General features: G+C 38.9%; 1 protein-coding gene across 18 annotated transcripts in view; it reads right to left on the reverse strand.

Annotated features, from left to right (window-relative positions):
* The window catches only part of PLA2R1 (phospholipase A2 receptor 1), a 138,683-nt gene that overhangs the window by 47,479 nt on the left and 68,825 nt on the right, over positions 1-22,379 (reverse strand). For 16 of the 18 annotated variants that reach the window (XR_922892.4, XR_007071491.1, XR_001738672.3 and 13 more), the window contains 6 exons: positions 15,745-15,947; positions 12,517-12,662; positions 8,419-8,503; positions 5,873-6,005; positions 5,274-5,309; positions 4,657-4,814 (listed from right to left, as the gene is read on the reverse strand). Coding sequence is in view for 11 of the 18 variants with exons in the window: in XM_047443729.1 (XP_047299685.1) it covers positions 4,657-4,814; positions 5,274-5,309; positions 5,873-6,005; positions 8,419-8,503; positions 12,517-12,662; positions 15,745-15,947 (761 nt within the window). In the remaining 7 variants the exon portion in view is untranslated. Of the gene's footprint in view, positions 1-4,656; positions 4,815-5,273; positions 5,310-5,872; positions 6,006-8,418; positions 8,504-12,516; positions 12,663-15,744; positions 15,948-22,379 lie in introns of those variants that run through there. The other 2 variants (XM_017003601.3, XR_007071494.1) reach the window with 2 other exon arrangements.

The raw sequence follows: 22,379 nt of genomic DNA on the forward strand, positions 1-22,379 counted from the left end.
CTAAGTACAATAAAGTATAAAATTAAAGCACTATGTGCATGCATGTGCACACGTGTGTGCGCGCACACACACACACATACACACACACACACATTAGGGCAGATGTACTGACTTATGACCCAGGAAATTGAAATTCCCTCTTTAACTATAAAAGAGGAAGAGGAAGTAAGGGTTTTTCTAAGACCTGTAAATCAGTATACTTAATGGGGGTGTGTGTGTGTGTGTTGTGTGCTGAACTGTAAGTTAATTTTTATATGCTAAAATCCTGTTAATTTGAAGGCATTATATATTTAAATTTGTACTCTCGTTTCTTCTGTAAAGACTTCAGAAGAAATTTTAAGATACATTATTTTTCCATAGGAATTTCAGCTCTCCATACAACAGAACCCAATAGCCCTCTAACAATCTAATTTATAAACAGGTATTTTTATTCTGTAAACAGCATGGCTATTTGTCATATCAGCAATTTGAGAATAATGCAAGATGGAACAACTGTAATTTTGTATCCCTGAGGTGTTGTTTCGTGGACATGTTCTTACAGGCTGAATTCAGATTCCCATTGTCAGACGTTGGAATGGGTCCACTGAGACTGGCTGTTAACTCAGTGGGGGAACCACAACAATTTCATTCAATCTAAAGAGGTTTCATGTGCCACGGGACTGGAAATCATGGCCTGGATTGTTCACTGCCCCAATTAAGGACCTCTAAAGAGAAATTATAACTGCTGCATCCTAAGTGGCATATTTATTACCACCTCAATTATGGCGTGGTAACCTCCACATGGCACATCACAACCTGTTGTGATATGGCACAGAACTGAACTTCATAGGAGATGCTAGAAGATACCCAGAATGGAACATCCAATGTGAAAATGGATGTTTGAAATTTTAGCTTAAGAAGGCCACAACAATAGAAGACTTATTAACATGTGTTTGCATAAAGAAATGTGATAGAGAAGTAAGCTCAGGGCTTAAAAAATGTCATATGAACATGCATTTTATAACATCAACTATGTTTTGGTATTTACAAACAGCCATTATAGTTAGCATCATATGGAAACAGCATTTACCAAAAACAAACAAAACCCCACAGTGACAGTCACTACATTAATCCATAAAGCAATATAAGGAAGAACAACCTGTCATCTTTTAAAATGTTCCCATCAAGGATGACAAATGATATTTTGGAGGAGGACTAATAGATTTGATATGTATTTTGAGAAGCATTTAGAAATAAAAATTTAATAATAATGGTAAATTGCCATTTCAAAATGACAATACTGCATAACAGTGTAAAAATGTCAGATAAGCAGACTAATTAGCTAGTAGTTTGTGTCAAACAACTCCTAAAGTGCTTGCAGCGTTTTTTCAGCATTAATGTGATTATCAAGATGGCTCAAAAAATAAATTCACTCTAATCATGCTTTATGGTCTTCTGTTACTCAAAGAGTGGGAGAGAAAATATTGACATTCTTTTTCCAAGATGGAAACATTTTATTAAAATTTTTATTTGCTTCAGATTTTTAAACTGTATCTAGCTTGCTTGTTCATAATTAATTTTTTTGACACTGCAACTAACTGTTATTTTTGTTTTTCACAATTCTAATCACTGCTCTTCTTAGGGAAGCTACACAAAGCACATACGTAATTTTAAAAATATTTAATTACTTATTTGTACTCTTCCTACATTTATAAGATAAATGTGAGACAGAAGTGAGTGGAATCACCTCTACACATCTTGCTCCTCATCCTGGAATGAAGTAACTTCTGGATTGACCCATTCCAGCAGGACGTTCTTAGGTGTGGGGTTTCTTTCTTACAAAATGTGAACACCACTATCACCACCACCAACAATAAGTGCCCAAGGTAGGCACAAATTATGCAGAAATAAGAATTTTTTGGAAAGCAACAGCTTTCTTCTTTCTAATTTGATATCCTTTCCCCTTGGACCCCACTACAGACTAAATGTTTGTGTCCCCCTAAAATTTACATTGTTGAAATCCTAACTCTCAAGGTGATATATTACAAGGCAGATGGCAGATGATAAGGTCATGAGGGTGGGGGGTGGGGGTGTCTCATGAATGGGATTAGTGCCCTTAAAAGGGGACCTTGGAGAGCTCCTTTGCCTCTTCCACTATGTAAGGATACATATGAACCAGGAAGTGGGCATTCACCAGACATCAAATCTGCCAATGCCTAGATCTTGAGTTTCCAGCCTCCAGGACTGTGAGCAATAATTTTCTGTTGTTTGTAAGCTGCGTAGTCTATAGTGTTTTTTTATAGCAGCCTGAAAAGACTAGGACAGTCCCCTGGCCCTGTTCTCAGTATTCAAATCCTATACCTTCCCATAACTTTCTTTTGCAGCACAGTGGGGAGATTAGTTAGCACCTTACCCATGAAACTGATGGGGCATTCTACATCAACGTGGTCATAGGCCAGGTGACAATTTTGCCATATAAGGCACCATAAAGTTTGTCTGATTTGAGGTCAGAATCCTCAACTAGATCATGGCAGTGGCTATGATGACTCAAACTGCTCAGCCTGTGGGGTTTCGCCCTTCCCTTCCATGGGAGGCATTATCTACGCCATCCCCATTGGCTTCCCAACTTCCAAAGATTAGGAGATGAATTAAGAGGAAAGGTGAAGACAGAAGATCTACAGAAGTTCCCAGCAGAGCTAAGCTCTGTTGGAAAGATCAAAGAAGCCCTTCATTGTTCATGTCTGAGACGAAGCTGGCAGCCATGTTTTGGGGAGGATTTTGGAACTAGCTTTTGATGTAATGAAGACGTTGTGCTCTTACATGCCCTGACACTGCTGTTCCACTGTCACAGGCAGCACCGTGTAGGGTTTTTAAATGACTGGATAAATAAGATGGCCTGGGTTTCTTTCCAAATTCCACCACTTAGCTGCTGTGTAACCAAGTTGCTTAACCTCTTTGAAGTCTTAGCCTACTCACCTGTAAAAATGTACTAATAATAGACTTCCCACAGGGGGTTCTTGGGAAGATTACATTTTAGTACTTATCATAGTACCTGAAACAGTTATGGTAAGTATAGCCAAATATCAGCTCTTTTTGGGTTGTATACTTTGCATGCGTATGGATTAGTTTTCAGCCATTCATCTGGTCTCTTGTTATTGCCCTCTGAGGTGAGGAGTATGGTGTCTGGCTAAAGAAATGTGTATTTTCCGACATCATGGTATAGAATTGAACATGCTCATATTGAACATTATGGTTTTGGCTTGAGTGTTCCATTCGTAAGAGTGGAAGGGTGACAAAATAGTGTACAAATTTATGATGGGGAAAATTCCACATCTAGTGGTTGTTCTGCAACTGAGTGTCTATGGGACCATGTGATTGTCATCTAACTTCTCTTTTTCTCGGCTTCTTCATCAGAATGTAGCAGGAGTCCTGACCTGCTTGTACCTCATGGGCTGTATGTGCAACAGACAAGATATAGAGACAGTAAATCCCCATGAACTGTGAGGAAAGACATTTCTTTCTCAAGCCTAGGATGCTTTAATACAGGGCTTCATTTTATAGTCAACTTACAGAGATATAAAAAGATGATAGAGTTAGAAAGGATTCCTGAAGATCATGAAATATGATTAAATTACAGGAAAAGAAAATGGCTTTTTCTTGCTTTCAAAGCTTCCAAGGGAAAGGGGAGTGAGGATTTCCCGCCTTCATGCCCCCATTGTAATTTGCACTTTCTGTGCCCTTTCTATTTACTACATCATATCACTTCCAGCTTTAGTTTTTAAATTTATGTTTTAAAAATTGAAAAATAAAATTGTATGTATTTATTGTATACAACATGATGTTTTAAAGTATATATATCTAGCCTTTTTAAAAACAGAGACTGTATCTCATACATTTTTGCATCTTTGACAAATATCCCAGTGCCTGGCACATACTTGATAATGAATGCTTATTGAAGGAACACACTGAAAAAGTACACTATTCTTTGCCAGTTTATTATTTAATAGGTCTTACATGTTTCTTTCTTACTAGCTTAGTTCTGCAAGGAATTAAGTAGCCTTTCTCTACTTTAAGTTGAAATAGAAAACTACTCCTTACTATTTTCTGTATATTAGTCTTTACAAACTTAAAAATAATGTACTCTTGTAAGATTTGAAAGTTTAAAACTGCCAGGCACCCCCCCAGGTATTCCTCATCCCTCATTTGAGCTTAATTTTCCTCTGTGGCATTTATCCACTTATTTTTTCTAATATATTATATAATTCTATTTACTCGAATTGATTATGGTCTTTCTTCCCAGACGAGAATATAAACTCCATGAAGATAGGAATTTGGGTCTTTTTTAATCACTGGTAAAACCCCAGTTCTACCAGTGATTAAATGATCGAATGAACCTCATGAAACAATCTCGACGTGCTCACCATTGTTGCTAACAAAGAATGAAGAGAAGGGAAATGACTGAGCAATACAGTAAACCTGTACCTCCATTATTTTCTCTTAATCTCTATAATAGGAAAAAAATTCTCAAAAATCTATGGCTTTACTGAAATCTATGGCTTTTACTGAAGTTTAAATAAATATCCGAAGTCAAATCGAAAAAACTATCCCTCCCTCCCTCCCAAGGGCAAAAGAAGGTGCTAAACTCTGAATTTTTCGTGGTGAGTTATGTTCAAGTACCGCTTTTATTTTGCTGTGGATGAATTCTTGCTCATGTGCAGAATGAATTGTGAGAAGATCACTGTGCAGCCAGCTACAGACAAACTCAAAGTTCAACCATTCTGAGGCAAAGGTATGAAAAAGGTATTCTGCATCCTGATAAAAGAGCCAGGGTACATCTGAAAAAGAAACAGTGAAAATAATGCTGAAATGATAAATAGGTATGCTAGGATTGACCCCAAATTTGAGATTTGGTCACTCAACATTAAAAATAATTGTATACACACACACAGGAATTTGAACACACACACACAGACACATATGCACATAAATAGATATATAACTTGCTTTTTTTCTTTGGTCTATCTCTTACAAGATACCTTCACTAGTATTAAAAGGTCGGGGATAGGTACATATTCTAAAATCGCATGTCATGAAAATGATTGATGATACTAGTCCTTAATCATATTAAATGACTACATTTATTAATTATTAATTTGAACAAATTAGCTCTAGGTTGACACAAGAAAAGAGAGGCTCGATTTGAGAAATGTAACAACACATTAATGGTATATAATAGCACTTATATGGTATATATTAATAATTAGAAATTCAAGAGCTGCCAGAGTCATTCTTACCGTACTGGTACCAGAACGGAATCTTGGGTTTCACATCTGCAAAGTGAAAGCAAATCACTTTGACTGATCTTGCTTCTCAAGTGCATTGTCTGTGAATTACTTCAGCTCTAAACACACTATTTTGTCCTTCATCTTTTAAAACATCACTTTAAAACAGGTACATTGTGCTGTTTGGAATATATGGTGAGTTCTCACACTTGAAGAGGAAGCTCCAGAGAGGCTTCTAATTAAAGAAGGAAGGACATGAGCACTTGCTGAGGCCACTGTGTGCCACACACTGTCCCAGGTGTTTCCACTTACTCATTGTGCAAGTAATTCCATTTGCTCTGTAATGTCAAAGTGACATTTTTCCCCGACTATACTTGCACTATAAATATTCTGCAATATTAGCTGGTTACCTTAGTTCCCAATGAACTAACTTGGCATCCTGCATTGGTGTCGCCTTTTCCCATTTCCTATAGAAACATTTTTTGCTAAAGTAGTGTAATTTATTTTATCATGCAATTTGTTGATATTGTGGTTTGGGGTGTTTAAATTGGGAAAGTACTAGAGATTATTAGAAATCAAACATATAGCAAAGATCTTACTACTATTTTTACCTCTTGGGATTTTGCATATCCATTCACGTTTGGAACCACAGTGTAAGGGCAGCAATGTTTTGTTTGCCTTATAAACAGCACAGTTTCTTGCATCTTCTCCAAAATAAGTGTTGTCTAAAAACGAAGAGACAACCTGCAGCAGATGAAGTTCATTATTCCTTAATGATGATCCCCCCACAAAGTTTCAAAAGATCAAAAAGGGCATCCCTGTACATAAGCATTATAGGCTACTCCAGGAAGCTTCAGAAATGTCTGGATGTCATTCTAGTTGAAGGTTGTTTCACATTTGTGAAGAACAAGCTAATCAATATTTAGCATTTTTTTCTTAAAGATGCCTTTTTAAAAAACAAAAACAAAAACAAGAAAACAAAAGGCCAGGCACGGTGGCTCATGCCTGTAATCCCAGCACTTTGGGAGGCCAAGGTGGGCAGATCACAAGCTCAGGAGATTGAGACCATCCTGGCTAACACGGTGAAACCCCATCTCTACTAAAAATACAAAAACAAAAAATTAGCTGGTTGTGGTGGTGGGCACCTGTAGTCCCAGCTACTCGGGAGAATGGCGTGGACCCAGGAAGCAGAGCTTGCAGTGAGCCGAAATCCCACCACTGCACTCCAGCCTGGGTGACAGAGCAAGACTCTGTCTCAAAAAAAATAAATAAATAAAATAAAAATTAAAAAAAGGTATGCTATTCCTTTCTCCAGAAGGAACAAATCAAATGCAAGCTTTGGTCTGAATTTGCACATTTTTCTAACTGGGAAAATTTTCTAGCCTTGGAATCCTGGGTAAACTTAGGGACTCAAGGGTGTGCCAGATCTTGGTATTAACTTTGATTTTGATTACTTTGAACATATGCTAAGTTTTTTGTCTCTAATAACTAAATTCTAAGCTATAGCTAGCTTTAATCAGGAATCTATCAGGTCACTTTCCATGAGTGACCACATAACTCATATAATTCACATTACGGGGGTATTAAAGAATCAACCTTCTCAATTATTTAATGACTATCTCACAGAAGAATGGATGTACCACAAGTAAAATTGGGGTAAAAATTTGGGGAAAAAAAGGATGTTTTAAAATCCTTTATATTCCTCCTCAAACATGTACACTGTCACGTAATAATTCATCTATCTAAAATATATATAGCCTCAGGTTCAGAAAATGGTGTGATTTGAATTCATTTTGTCCAGCAGATATTAGTGAGAAGCTCGGCCACTGCTTCATGGCCTTATCTAATTTATTCTGACCCAGATTGTCTGTTCCTCTCCTATTACTAATGAGTTTGTTATACTAAAACAAAAGAAAGTGTTCTCAACTTCTATGTGTCACATTTCTTTTTCGAGTGCTACATTGACTTGAACCACCCAGCTGTCTCATGTAGTGGCTGCCATTTATGGAGTAAGTTGACCCTGCTATGCCTTTTCTGTTTTCTGAGCCTTGGTTTCTTTATCAGAAAAATGGATTAGTGGGGCTGAATGACCTTTAAAATCTCTTCCTACTCTCTTCTATAAACCTCTTCCTTGACATAAATTTGAAAACCATCTTGGTACGGGGCTTTCTCTATTGTTCTTTACTACTTCAAAGTTTGGCTACTGATATTTTGCCAATCATGAGATATTATAACATTGTGACTTTGGAGTCAGACAACCTGTGTGCAAATCCTGGCTCTCCTATATATTTTAGGCAAGCCACTTAATCATTCTAATACCCATGGCACTGAGTTATTGTAAGGATGAAATGAGATCATGTAGGAGTGCATTCAGCTCAGCGCTTGGAACAGTATAAGGACTCAATAAACAGCAGTTGCATTAAATTCTCACTGCAGGCTCTTAGGAGTCTCCCCATTTCACAGGTGAAAGTGAATAATGTGATTTTTCATGTGCCGTAGGATGGATCCCACTTCAATCTAGGATACTACTTCAGTTTTTTCCCTGTCATTTTGAGAAAAATGTGAGAATTACCCATTGCAACTGGAAAAAAATACAATAGTGAGTTCTCTGTGTCCTTCATAGAGGTTTGCAAGTATGGGAATGAATGAAAACCAAGACTTTTTTTTTCCTTCTGGAATAACTTGCTCTAGAAGGTGATATTTCTAAAACTTGCATTACTGTCCTTTCAGAGTGAGATAAATGAAAAATCATTCTCCAAAATAATCTTCATTTCATTATGACATGGACAAGGTTCCCATACTCAGATAATCAGGTGATATGCAGGATAGGGAGGTATAGGGTAAAGGGAGTCTTGTGTTATTTTAAAGAATAGCTGCTTCTCTGCCAGAGAGACTTCATATGGGAGATGGTTTGGGGGGACTTTTTGGAGGTTTTTGATACTTTTTCAGGCTGAAATTGTACAATGGCCTCAGAACAATATGGCTAGCAAAGATTTCTCAGGACCTTGCCAAATAATTCTCCTGGTACTAAGGTCTGGTGCAGTTTTGTCATGGGAGCTCTGGCCATCATTTCTAGGTTCTCTTGGTTGGTTTACCAAGTGGTCCCAGGCCCACTTGTTTTGAATCCATCCCTTTTCTCCAGTTTGAAAAGACTTACAGGAGTTCTATCAGACCACTCCCATGAGCCGGCATTCAGTGGGTTTCTTTTATTAAATCCAATCCAGAACTGCCTTTCTTCTGTCCTGTAAAGAGAAGAAACAAAAGCTTTGCCTTTCCCATCAAATTTACAGCATTATGTGAAAGGTTCAAAAAATACCAGCATGGCACATGTATACACATGTAACTAACCTGCATATTGTGCACATGTACCCTAAAACTTAAAGTATAATAATAATAAAAGAAAAAATATTTTAAAATATTTATGTATGCAGGAAACAGCTGATGCTACTGGCAGGATTGATCAAGTCAACAAGCATTGAACATTTTAAATGTGCAAAACCCTGTGCTGTGACATGAACTGAGAGAAGAATAAGCCTCACATTCTATTACTCTTGGTTTGTGTGGTTTGCTCACAGGTGATATACAGGTGGGTAAAAGTCAGCTTTTATTGAGAACATGAGTTTCTCATCAGGAATAGCAAAGCCTTTCAGTCAGGACAAGAACACATGAAAAGAAAATTGGTAAGAAACTTTGGAACATCTCTAGCCAAGAGGACCTTTCACTACTTTACTGTGTGTTTGCTACTTCACTATACTATTTATTCTACTTTACTATGCTTTGATTTGTTGTTCTTTTGTTAAACATTCATGTATTCTCTGAAAGTCAACCACCATCATCTTCACTGAATAAAAGGTACACAGTAGGTTTTGGGTTTTTTTCAGATATCAACACAAATAATTCTAAAGCCAGTCACCCTGAGCCATGGTTCATTAACTTCAGTTGTCACCATTGGTTTATACTTGGTGAGAAGCTCCACAGAGAATCACCTTCCCTTCTATGAGGCAGAGTACAAATGTGTCCACAGAATACTCAATAAATCGAGTAATAAAGCCTACCTGTGCAATGAACCATCTCACTAAGATAATTTTCTGAGAATAATTTTGAAGAATCAAAGATTTAAAATATTCAGATGTCAGGACAGATACTTTATTTTCCTTTGTGCAGAGAAGCAAGGAATTCCTTCTCGGATATGTCAGCTACTCTGCCTGGATGACACAAATTAAATTCAAATTCAGCTTAGAAATCCAAGAGATCACTGATGCCCGGTTGGACATTGTCATGATGATACTAACTTTCATTTAAGGCTGGGAGAAGGTGAGAATGGCCACCTTCAGTTTAAGCCAAGCACATTAATCTCGATGGCATAGGCTGAAAATCCATGTCACTCTCCTGGTGTTGTGACCTTTTTCTTTCCTCACTGAATTCAGAGTTCTATGTCTTTCCTGCTATATACTGGCTCCTGGAAGATGAAATGGTATTTACTTTCTCTTCATCAGTTTCCTGAAATTGTACAATATTTAATAAACACACATGTATGTGCATACGTGTGTGTGTGTGTGTGTGTGTGTGTGTCTGATTAATAAAATAGAAATAGAAAAGCAGTGCCATAGGAAGGAAAAGCAGCATACCTGTTATACCTGCTAACTATGAGATCTGGTATGTTTGCTATAATTAAGCATCAGATTTGACTGAATTCTCTGGTAGTCTGGGAATAAACTGAAACATACACAGTTATTGATAATTTTTTTTTTGAGACAGGGTCACACTGTCGCCCAGGTTGGAGTATAGTAGCACACAATCTTGGCTCACTGCAACCTCCTCTTCCCAGGCTCAATTGATACTCCCACCTCAGTCTCCTGAGTAGCTGGGACTACAGATGTGTGCCACTACACCTGGCTAATTTTTTTGTACTTTTTGGTAGAGATGGGGTTTCACCATGTTGCCCAGGCTGTTCTCTAACTCCTGGGCTCAAGCAATCTGCCTTGGCCTCTCAAAGTGCTGGGATTACAGGTGTGGGTCACTGCACCCAGTCAAGAATTTTTAAATATTTTATTTAAAGACGGTTCTCGCTCTGTTGCCCAGGCTGGAGTGCAGTGGCACAATCATACCTCACTGTAACTTTGAACTAGGTTTTGCTGGGACTACAGGTGTGGCCACCACACCCAGCTAATTTTGAAAAATTTTTTTGTAGAAACTGAGTCTCACTATGCTGCCTAGGCTGATCTTGAATTCCTGGCCTTAAGTGTTCCTCCCACCTTGGTGTCCCAAAGTGCTGTGACCCACTGTGCCTGGCTCATATTATATGACTTTTGTGATCAGATATTGAAGATCCATGATTTAGCTTGGGACTAAATTCTGCTAGACATTTCAAGCATGAGAACTTACATAAACAGAAATGACAGTGACATTTGATCTTAAAGCAAACTGGGAAGCAGTGTGTGTGTGGTTGTCATATGGCAAACCTCACTAAAATGCAAGGACAGAATATGCAAATATGTTTTAAAGGAAGCTAAAGTAATGAAGCAAAATGTAACTTTGAACAATGGAGACTATCACCTATCCCTTGGATTTGCGGCCTCACACCTGGCTGATAATCCAATTAGCCAGAAAGCTTCTTAAACTTTTCTTCAGACTCAGAGAGTCTGACTCAGCAGCTCTGGTGTGAGGCCAGAAAGCTCTGTATTAAAAGGTGTCCCGACCAAGTGTGATGAGCAGCCAGGTTCCTGAGTCATGGCCTCATGTCAGCATTTCCCGTAGGGACTAGCAGTTCTGTGGGATGTCAATAAGTGTTCTTAAAAAAGGGAATTGTGGTCAAAGAAAGTGCTTCCTTCTAGAACCCTTTACGATGCTAATGTACATGGCAAATCTCCAAGATTGTACATTGTTTTGCAAACATATTTGACCATAAAATCTCCTTCCTCCCCTGCAGAATGCTGCACAAGACTCACATGGAGAGATGTCAAAAACTCCCAGCTTTAAGGTCATTGCTGTAGATGTGGAAGATGAATAATCTGATAGATGTTGCATGTTAATCTTTTTATGGGAATGTCCTACAAGGAAACTTGTGGGAAAGGCCAGAATTTTCCTGAAAAAATAGTACAGGATTTTTCTCTGGGATTCAGGCCAGTGTTTCATTGAGACTCTAGATTTCCAGAGCCTGAAGCAGAGTACCTATTATTATGGTTGTTTTCATTAAATAAATATACAGAGTCATGGAGGTGTGATGATCACAACATCCTCAGAGGCAGGATCTTGTTTGTCATGTCTATTGAATTATCCAACCAGCTATGCATGTAACTGTGCCCCTTCCACAGAAGATACTCTCACAATGCAGGCTGACTGACAAGAACATTCCAAAGTGAGAGGCCAAACTCGGGGGTGGGGGGCTCACAGGAAGGAGACAAGATGACTGTCTTCAAATATTTGAAAATAGAGTAGATTTGATCTGTATTTGCTCTAGCTCAAACTGAGGGGAGGCAGATTTCTGGCTTATTAGAAAACTACTCTTTGAAACCAGGCTTCTGCAATGGAATGGGCTTTCTCCCAAATAAGAAGCATTCTGAAACTGGAAGGAATTATGCAGACAGCAGATGACCACGGTATGTGGTGGGAGGTAGCACAAGACGGTTTAGAGTTCTTACAATTTAAGCTTGAGTTTCTAACTCCACTGAATTCAAGGTTCTGTAAACTTGCAAGATGGATACAGATAAGGGAAAGCTTGTTTCCTCAAATGAAAACTTAGGAGGTTGGGTTGGAATTAAAAAAAAAATTACTGGGACTCTTTTTTTTTTTTTTTCCAAACAAAATCTTACATAGGCTCCAATTATATACAAAATAATTAGCGGTGGAGCTGGTCAGAGCCGCTCTGGTGAGGCGTGGAAGGAACTAGGAGCTCTGCCTACGTGGCCCTCTCATACTCCTGGGGTTCCAGGATTCTTGGGATCCTTCCACAACACTTTGAAAACCATTGGGGTAGATAATTCCTGAGTTTGGCAGGAAAGCTCTACAGTTCTGACTTGAGGCACAAAGAAAAGATTTCAAATATCTAAACAATTGTCACTTTGTTCTTTGTTTTATGAAATGAGAACCTGGTACAAGATAAACATAAAACTATATGTATATTTATTTTTCTTGGCTTTGGGCATAATACAAATATGGGAATTTTAAACAACTACTTGGGATACTCACCCCTCAGAAGCCATTACTGGGAGATAGAATATTTGACTGTAATTTTTCATAATTAACAAGTATTTACCAATTAAATTTTGAATGTAAGAGCTCATTCACAAAATTCTCTTCCTCAATATGGGCAAAGCTTGCAAGATGAGCTCCAAATTCTTCGCAAAATGCTTCAGCTTCTCTCCATGTTCTTTTCATCAGAACTTTTTCACTATGAAATACCTGTATAGTAAAAGAAAATAAATTAACATTGTTATAGATAAAGTCAGGTTGTTAAACTCTGTTCAAGAAAGTAACAGTAATATTAACATAATCATCATTATTATTTATAAAGAGCTTGATCTAGTGGGAGGAAGTAATATTTACTGAATTAGAATGTGCCTAGTCATCATAAAACTATTAGTTCCTTTTATCCTCATAACAAATTTCTGAGGAGAATATAATAAACTCAGTTTTATAAATGAGCTTTTTGAGGAATTTTTTTTCACCCTAAATCTTCTGTGACTGGCATGTACTTGTCCCTCAGTAAATATTTGTCAAGAGATAAATAAAGTCAGGCCAAGAGAGGTTAAGAATTTTAGGTCACACAGCTATAAACTGGCAGAGCTAGAATTAGACCTACAATACCTTGCTTCCAGAGTCCATAAACTTCCATCCCACCAGATTGCCTTCTGACAGATTAGAATTAGCAGATTGATCATTACTCTGGCTGACCCAGGGCAAGAAATGAGAAATTAGACCTGGGACCTAGGGTAGCTCTATTTCTAGAGTCTTTGGATCTTAGTTGAACTGGCAGTGCAGTGGTTCAGCTGTGCCTAAAATCTCTGCTGCTTCTCAGCTGTCTTCATGGTGGCAGGAAGAAGCCAGATGAATGGAAGGTCTTCTGTTGGCTTTATTTAAGATTGGGGAAAGGGACTGAAGACCCAGAGCTTGCAATCCCAGTCCTCTTACCCTTCTTATTTTTAACTGCCTGGCACTAAGCCTGAGCCTCTGATGCCAGACAGGTACACCCTGTGGCCAGCCCTCACCAGGCTCTTACTTGCTGAGACCAGAATGAATAGCTTTCCAAGTCCTGTGGACCACAGCACAACCTTTCCATCTTTTAAATTATATGTCAAAACTTGCCTCCTCTGGGAACCTCTTCCCGAATCACTATAAGCTCATAAATCCTACCACCATGCCTATCACACACACCATGCATTTGTTGACATATCAGGGTGATATATAGTAGAAAAGGCACCAGACCAGAAGTCCTAAACCAGGCATTTATTCCAACTCTGTCAATAAATAATCGTGATCTTGGGCAAATCACTACATTTCACAGGCCCCAGTTTACTCATCTCTAAGGTTTAACTTATTAATGGGCGAGGCCACTTTTGGGCCTATTATTCTATGAATGTAATGTAGGATTATACATGTGTACAATTTAAATCGAGCACATTCACAGCTGCTTCATGCCATCTACGAGCTACAACAGTTCCAGAGATAGAGTCTGTCTTCATTCTGCTCTGCCTGTGCAGAGATGCTGGGGAACTTTTCCCCAAGATTTAGTGAACCCCTATTTGTAAAATAAACCAAGACAAAACCACCAAACATTTTTAAAAATCATATTTCAAAAAATGTGTTTCTGACAAGATTGTAGGAACTAATTTAAATGTAGGATCTAAAGCTGATTTTAAAAATAGAAATGTCTTCACTTATATATACACACACATACATACACACACACATATATACACATACAAATCAACCGTATGCATCAATTTGTTTGATCTTCACATGTCTGGCAAGCTGCAAAAGCTATCCTTATTAGTAATATTGTATCATTCAATAATAAAAACTTTATTTGTTGGTTTACAAACAATATGAAATTATACCATTTAACACCCTCTGAGTGTCTACCTCCTTCACTTAGTGTATGAACAATATTGACTGGGGCCTCAATATTGCAGGAGGACAGGTCCCCAGATGACCCTTGCTGACCCAGCTCTTCCTCTTTTTCTTGGCAATTCTCAGGCAGAGTGTACCAAGAGTGCAACGTCCTGAGATAAGGAGGAACTGTCCTTATCCCTCCTAGAATAGGATGTCTTGTAATACTTTTGCTCAGTGATTCAGGTGGCACCTGGGATATAAAACCCCGAGAGAAGCGCTTTGGGGAGCCCTCAGCTGTCATGCAAAGTGGGGCATGTGCAGACAAGATTCCATCTTCCTGGGGGTGCTTTCCTGAGCCTTGGGGGAATGGCTCACCATGGATCCTAGACTTCGGTTGCTTCTTGCTGCCTATCTGTGAATACAAGTTGAGCATCCCAAATCCAAAAATCCAAGCTCCAAAATGCTCCAAAATGCAAAACTTTTTGAGCGGTGACAAGATGCTCAAAGGAAATGCTCATTAGAGCATTTTGGAGTTTGAATTTTCAGATTTGGGATGCTCAACTGGTAAGTGCGATGCAAATATTAAAAAAAACAAATCTGAAATCTAAAGCACTTCTGGTTCCAAGCATTTCAGAAAAGGAGTACTCAACCTGTAATAAAGTTACTTTGCCCATCTTGTTGTGTGGGAATTCTGTCTCACCAGATTCATACTCTGGCAGCCAAGTTTGTGCAAAACCTCCTGTCAGAGCTAGGAACTTACGCAGAAACTGGTTAGGTGTTTAGAGTCCTCCCCCAGGAGTGATAACCAGAGCATGGTGCCCTCCTTCCAGGTATTAATATTAGCGCATGCTATTTCTTTTCTTTCCTTTTTTTTTTTTTTTGATATAGAGACTCGCTGTGTCACCCAGGATGGAGTGCTATGGCGCAGTCTCGGCTCACTGCAACCTCTGCCTCCCGGGTTCGAGCCATTCTCCTGTCTCAGCCTCCTAAGTAGCTGGGACTACAGGTGCATGCCACCATGCCTGGCTACTTTTTGTATTTTTAGTAGAGATGGGATTTCACCATGTTGGCCAGGCTGGTCTGGAACTCCTGACTTCAAGTGAGCCGCCTGCCTCGGCCTCCCAAAGTGCTGGGATTACAGGCGTGAGTCACTGTGCCTGGCCCTGTGCCTGGTATTTCTGCTTAACAGATATCAATCTTCATGAGGAAGCCTTCAATATCACCAGGATGTGTCAATTTTTTTTACTTAAAAATTATTTGGAATATGATTGAAAGGATAGAGACAGGCAACAAATGTTGATTAAGCACCTGCTGTCTGTCAGGCACTGTTCTGGAAAAAAAAAGGGCCCCGGAATAAAGGAATTTGGGATACATGGATCAAATTAAAATAGTGTTGGTCCTGTTAAGAATGTCCATGTAACCTTGGTATCACCTTGAAGCAACTGGCCAGACCAGGCTCTGACTCCCAGTCCAAATAGCAGGGGTGAAAGGGCCATCTCTCTTCATACTCTGCTTTTTCCTGATTTTCAACTGGCTGCTTGCACAAGGACATTGCCTTAAAGTGCCGACAGTGCTTCACTTCCCAGCGACCAAGTGGATGCCTTCCTCGCATGGCAACACAGCCACCACTGTAGCCTAAAAGCAGAAAACAAGCATTTTTAATACCAGACGACTAAAACGTTTTGTGCTCAGAAGACTGCTCTTTAGAGTGTTGAATAATTGACATCTCATAATTAAGCACCCAGACAAGAGCAATCAAGATGAAAACGAATGTCTTATTGACCTGATTATGTCATTTCTCTTCATCTCTGGAGAAAAGAATGCAAGATGGGAAAGAGAGAAAAGAGAGTGTGAAGGCTGAAATTTGGACCTTGTCTGCTTTGTGCTCAGATGGCAAATGATGAGGAACTAGGAGCTATTCCTATCTGGAACCAAAATATCCCCCATATTTCAATATTGTACTTCAAAATTCCATTGTGAAAAATCAACAATGAAAGGTGCATAGTGCTCATCCTCTAACAACTGGATTCAACAGGGGAAAATAGGTGAATAACAGATTCAAGGTAGACCACAAAGTATACAACAGAAAACCAAACTGTAAACCTTGGAAGAATGAAGAGAATGAGATGAATTCTCTAAATGAGGTAAAGATCCGGGGGCAGGGACAAGGCAGACATCAGGGAAAAGGAAGACAGAATTAGAGAGAGAGAGGGGCTTTTATATGAAAAGCAAAGTACTGAGATTTTCCCTCCCACCTTCATAGTATATGTGAGATATTGGAAAATGTGATATACTAGTTATGGACAAAACTCCACTTTTTTCTTTGTGTATGCTTGAACATTTTAGAAGGTAAAATGTATTTTTCCACAGAAACAATTTATAAATTAAGATTCTTAAGATTGTCAGCAAAATCTATACAACTCATATGACAGCAAAAAAAAAAAAAAATACACTTCAAATTTCAGTGAAGAACAGTAGAAAGCAATTCTATTCCAAAAATAGAATTAAAATGAGTAAGAATGAGCTTGTTTTTTCTTGAATCCTGGGTGATCATTTAGTTAACTAAATTCACATTCATCAACAACAATAAAAAATTGTACATCCGCAATGTGCTCAGCTAGGCTGTATATTAACTGCTTGAAAAAAAGGATGAAGCAAAGCAAACCAAAAACCAATTCTTAGTTTAGTGTAAGACACAGACACATAAATAAGCAATTCTAATAAATATAATGTGTAAAGTGCTACAGTAAAAGGTGTGTTCAAAGTTCTGGAGGAGACATCAGAAGGGGTGATGGAGCCTGTCCAGAGATGTCAGTAAAACATTTGCAGGAAGTGACATTTGAGCTGAATTTTGAAGGATGAAAAGGAGAAATGAGTTTTCAAGGCATGCTTGTAAAAAGAGAGTGATTATAGATGACTGACGACTTGCGATGATTCTGTACCTGAAGGCTCTTTAAAAAATGTCGTCACTTGCTACTTGATATTTATCTTGCTTAATTTCCCTTCAGAAGTAATGGCTTCAATTTTTTCAGATACTGAGTACCTGGCATTGTGCTTGTCATCTATGTTCTGATTGTTTTATGCTCATGGAAAGACACAAGAGAGGGAAAATGAAGAGTGCAAAGGAGAAGAAAGAAGACAAAGGAAGACATAGAGCATCTCTTTAGGAATGGAATAATTTGCTAAAGAATGAGTGTATGAGTGTTTGTGTCTTCAACAGCGCTGGCTGCACAAGTGTGTTAGGCACCAGCATCGCCATGGCAAGATGGTTCTGATCTGGAAGAACCCCCTGGGCCTCTGTGATGAATCAGAGACCCTCAAAGGTAAAAATGTCCAGTGGTAAAAGAGGAAACACGCTATCCCTCACATAGAAGAAAAGAAAGTCAAGGAAGAGTTGGTGCATCCAAAGGCCATCGGATGGCTCTACTGGCCCAGAACAGCTAGCTGGTGTTAAAGATGCAAGGTTGTGGGCAGGCAAGGGGGAGAGATTATAGTATGCAACTGCCCCTGCCATTAATGGAGCTTTGCAGGCCTGTTGAATAATTTCAGAATGCAGCTCACAGTCCAGCTGGATCATGAACAGTACAAGAGATGCTGCATGCTCTGTGCAATAAAACTGAACTGGAGAAATCCATGTGGAAGCCCCAAATGCAATATACTTGTGGAGCTGCTCTAGTTGAAAGAGAAGGGAACGCACACATCCTGCTCCATTCCCCCGTCCTTTGAGGGGCCCCAGTGGAAACTCCAGTTACTGCACAGCACAGGCAGGAAACCTCATGGAAAGAACTTCGGACTTGGAGCGTGAAGTTTGGGGTTCTAGTCTCAGCACAAATCTTTAGTAACTGGAAACTTGAGGATGTGAATTAACCACAATAGGCCTTGTCTAAAATATGTGAATAATAATTCCTTTTCTTCTCATGGGTTTTCATGAAGATCAAATGAAATAATGAACTGAAAAGCACTCTATAAAATATGAAGAGCTAAAAATACCCCTGCAATGTTGCTATTATGCTTATGGCCATTTTCATTACAAAAACTAGGGTTTTGTGGCATAAGTTCTGCCTGCATATTCAAAGAATTTTTCAAAAGTTTGAATCAGCAAGTTTGAAATGTAATATACTTTTTTGTTGGTCTTGCATTTTGTCTCACTTTCCCACACCAGACAATGATTAAATAGCTTTGGTTTTAGATGCTATAAGATATTCGACTCATCTTCATTAGTGAAGAAGGAGATGTTTGTGAACCACTATGAAGATGAAAAGTGCTGCAGAAGTGTTATTGGTATTCTAAAGTGGTTAACTTAATGGAACATTTGACCCAAATTTTAAGAGTCTCAGCCCCAAAGAAGCAGTAAAGTGGTATAATAAAGGGAGACCAGGCTAAGGGAGAGATAAACTAAATTTATAAGCCTATATCGTGGGGATGCTTGCAAAGCCAAATAATAAGGGTAAGGGTGTGGGAAAGAGCAGAGGCGAATTTTCTTTCAGAGAAGTTGTTCTTAAATTTGATAACTCACTTCCCACTGGAGAAGAAAAATGATTATTCTCAGAGGTGAATCTCACATTTTAACAGATTCTCCTTACCTGCCTTACCCCCACCCCACTCACTCTCTCCTGCAAACACGAATGGGGAGACTTTCTGTCAATTAAGAAATTCTGATTCACCAAGTTATCTATGCAAAATTAAGTGAGCTGGGAAAACCTCCACTGTCCACCTCCCTGTTCAAATACCTAAAAACAAACCCATTGACCAAAACTTTTTGTGCTGGCTTTTCAGTGCCTCTAGACAATTATTTCACTTGAGTCTGCCTGCTTATTTTCTGGTTCCCTGCAACAACCCTTTACATCCTCATCTCTCAAGTCCTCTACCCTCTCACCTTCCCTCTCTCTCTCCTTCTTCTCTCCTCTAACAGAGAAAAGTGAAGCTCTTTGGGTAGGCAAGGCAAGTTTCCTGCAATGCTGTGTATCTGCCAGGCACTGTGCTAGGCAATTTATATGGTCTTTTCCCTATTTAACTCCAGAAACTCTTCGAGACAGGCATTAGTGCCTGATTATGCAGTTGGAAAAATTAGGGCACAGAGGCTTAGTAACTTGCCAAAGGCCACAAACGTAGTGGGCTTGCTCCAGGATTTGAAACCAGATTTATTTGGGTCTACTGTGAGACAGGCACTGTGCTAGGCAATTTATATGGTCTTTTCCCTATTTAACTTCAGAAACTCTTTGAGACAGGCATTAGTGCCTGATTGTGCAGATGGAAAAATTAGGGCACAGAGGCTTAGTAACTTGCCAAAGGCCACAAACGTAGTAGGCTTGCTCCAGGATTTGAAACCAGATGTATTTGGGTCTGTGAGACAGTATCAAGGTACAGAGTGAGTGGGTGGGCATTCAATAAGCAGTTGAATAAATGAATGAATGAGTTCCCCTAAAATTATGCTCCTGTCCCATGGAGCTCTCTTGCATCCCTCTGATCCTGTTTCTCTCCTGTGTGTGGCCACAGCATTTCCTTGAAGATCTACTGTCACATTTTCACTTTGCATGACAGTTACTTATATGATTATGAGGAGATATGGAAATGTTCTAAGGGCTCTCAGAAATGAGACTGGGTTTATCCTTATTTATATGGTGGCTCATTTCAGAGCTCTGATGAGCCTTAAAATGGATTGGCCTCTCTAGTGTCTACTGATGGGACAGGCTGAAAGTGCAGGGCACTTTCTTTCTTTTTTTTTTTTTTTTAAGTTTTTCTTTCTTTTATTATTATACTTTAAGTTTTAGGGTACCTGTGCACATTGTACAGGTTAGTTACATATGTATACATGTGCCATGCTGGTGCGCTGCACCCACTAACTTGTCATCCAGCATTAGATATATCTCCCAATGCTATCCCTCCCCCCTCCCCCCACCCCACAACAGTCCCCAGAGTGTGATGTTCCCCTTCCTGTGTCCATGTGATCTCACTGTTCAATTCCCACCTATGAGTGAGAATATTCGGTGTTTGGTTTTTTGTTCTTGCGATAGTTTACTGAGAATGATGATTTCCAATTTCATCCATGTCCCTACAAAGGACATGAACTCATCATTTTTTATGGCTGCATAGTATTCCATGGTGTATATGTGCCACATTTTCTTAATCCAGTCTATCATCGTTGGACATTTGGGTTGGTTCCAAGTCTTTGCTATTGTGAATAATGCCACAATAAACATACGTGTGCATGTGTCTTTATAGCAGCATGATTTATAGTCCTTTGGGTATATACCCAGTAATGGGATGGCTGGGTCAAATGGTATTTCTAGTTCTAGATCCCTGAGGAATCGCCACACTGACTTCCACAATGGTTGAACTAGTTTACAGTCCCACCAACAGTGTAAAAGTGTTCCTATTTCTCCACATCCTCTCCAGCACCTGTTGTTTCCTGACTTTTTAATGATTGCCATTCTAACTGGTGTGAGATGGGTATCTCATTGTGGTTTTGATTTGCATTTCTCTGATGGCCAGTGATGATGAGCATTTTTTCATGTGTTTTTTGGCTGCATAAATGTCTTCTTTTGAGAAGTGTCTGTTCATGTCCTTCACCCACTAAGCAACTTCAGCAAAGTCTCAGGATACAAAATCAATGTACAAAAATCACAAGCATTCTTATACACCAACAACAGACAAACAGAGAGCCAAATCATGAGTGAACTCCCATTCACAATTGCTTCAAAGAGAATAAAATACCTAGGAATCCAACTTACAAGGGATGTGAAGGACCTCTTCAAGGAGAACTACAAACCACTGCTCAAGGAAATAAAAGAGGATACAAACAAATGGAAGAACATTCCATGCTCATGGGTAGGAAGAATCAATATCGTGAAAATGGCCATACTGCCCAAGGTAATTTACAGATTCAATGCCATCCCCATCAAGCTACCAATGCCTTTCTTCACAGAATTGGAAAAAACTACTTTGAAGTTCATATGGAACCAAAAAAGAGCCCGCATCGCCAAGTCAATCCTAAGCCAAAAGAACAAAGCTGGAGGCATCACACTACCTGACTTCAAACTATACTACAGGGCACTTTCAAGAAAATAAACCTGACTTACTCTACTGGGATCTTATTTTCTTTGTCACTTGCAGATTTCCATGGGTTTGGAACAATTGGGTTGAACATGCCCCGGAGTCATCCCATATGAATGAAACACGCCAGGGGTATCTAGGTCTAGAAACAAAACATTTTTCACAGAGCCTGAGTTATGGAGGGCTGCAAAGGAGTGATTGAAAGTGTTTATTTTTCTCAATACAGACACCTATGAGCCTCTAATATAACTTGGAAAAGTGTTTTCGAATGTCTTAACAAGTATAGACTCATCTATTCTCTTTCACCATAGAGCAACCTCCACTTATATTGAATCTTTAATCTAGGGGTACAAAGTACATTTTAGTTTCTAAGCATTAGCTTCTCCTTGAATGAGAAGCTAATTTATCATCTTTCCATTTAATCAGTGGCAATAATTAGTATGGATGAAAACCATTTTTCCTGTTTCACCTGAATATTTCATTTCTCTTGAAATACCAAGTGTCAGAGAGTCCCTTTGTTGTTGCTTTTTACTAAAAATAACAGGATTTTCTGGTGTTTTGAGAATGGGAAATTTGGCATGAAAGAAAGGAAATCCAGTTAAAATATAGGTTAATTAACCTTGTAGTCCTGAATTCAAATTGTAAATATGAATTTGAACTCAAAAAGTGTTTAATTTACACACACACACACACACACACACTTCCTAGATCTGTCCATTGAAATGGCCTAGAAACAATAACAAACCACAAACGACGAGCACCCTTAAGCCCAGACTGTGATGCTGAAATAATATCATTTCCCATCAGAAGAAACCAGGGTTCCTTGATGCAATGGATGCTTCTAGGTCTGCAGCAGAAATTTATATCTTGTCATACCAGATAGCAAGGACACTATCAAAGACTACTAGGATCACATCAGAAGGATTCAGAAGATATTCCTTGAAGAGATTCCCATCACAAGGATGGGGCAATTTGAGCATTAAAAAGGATAATTGCAATGGACTAAAACATATC

Source organism: Homo sapiens, chromosome 2 (assembly GCF_000001405.40).
Source record: "Homo sapiens chromosome 2, GRCh38.p14 Primary Assembly".
Taxonomy (NCBI): Eukaryota; Metazoa; Chordata; class Mammalia; order Primates; family Hominidae; genus Homo; species Homo sapiens.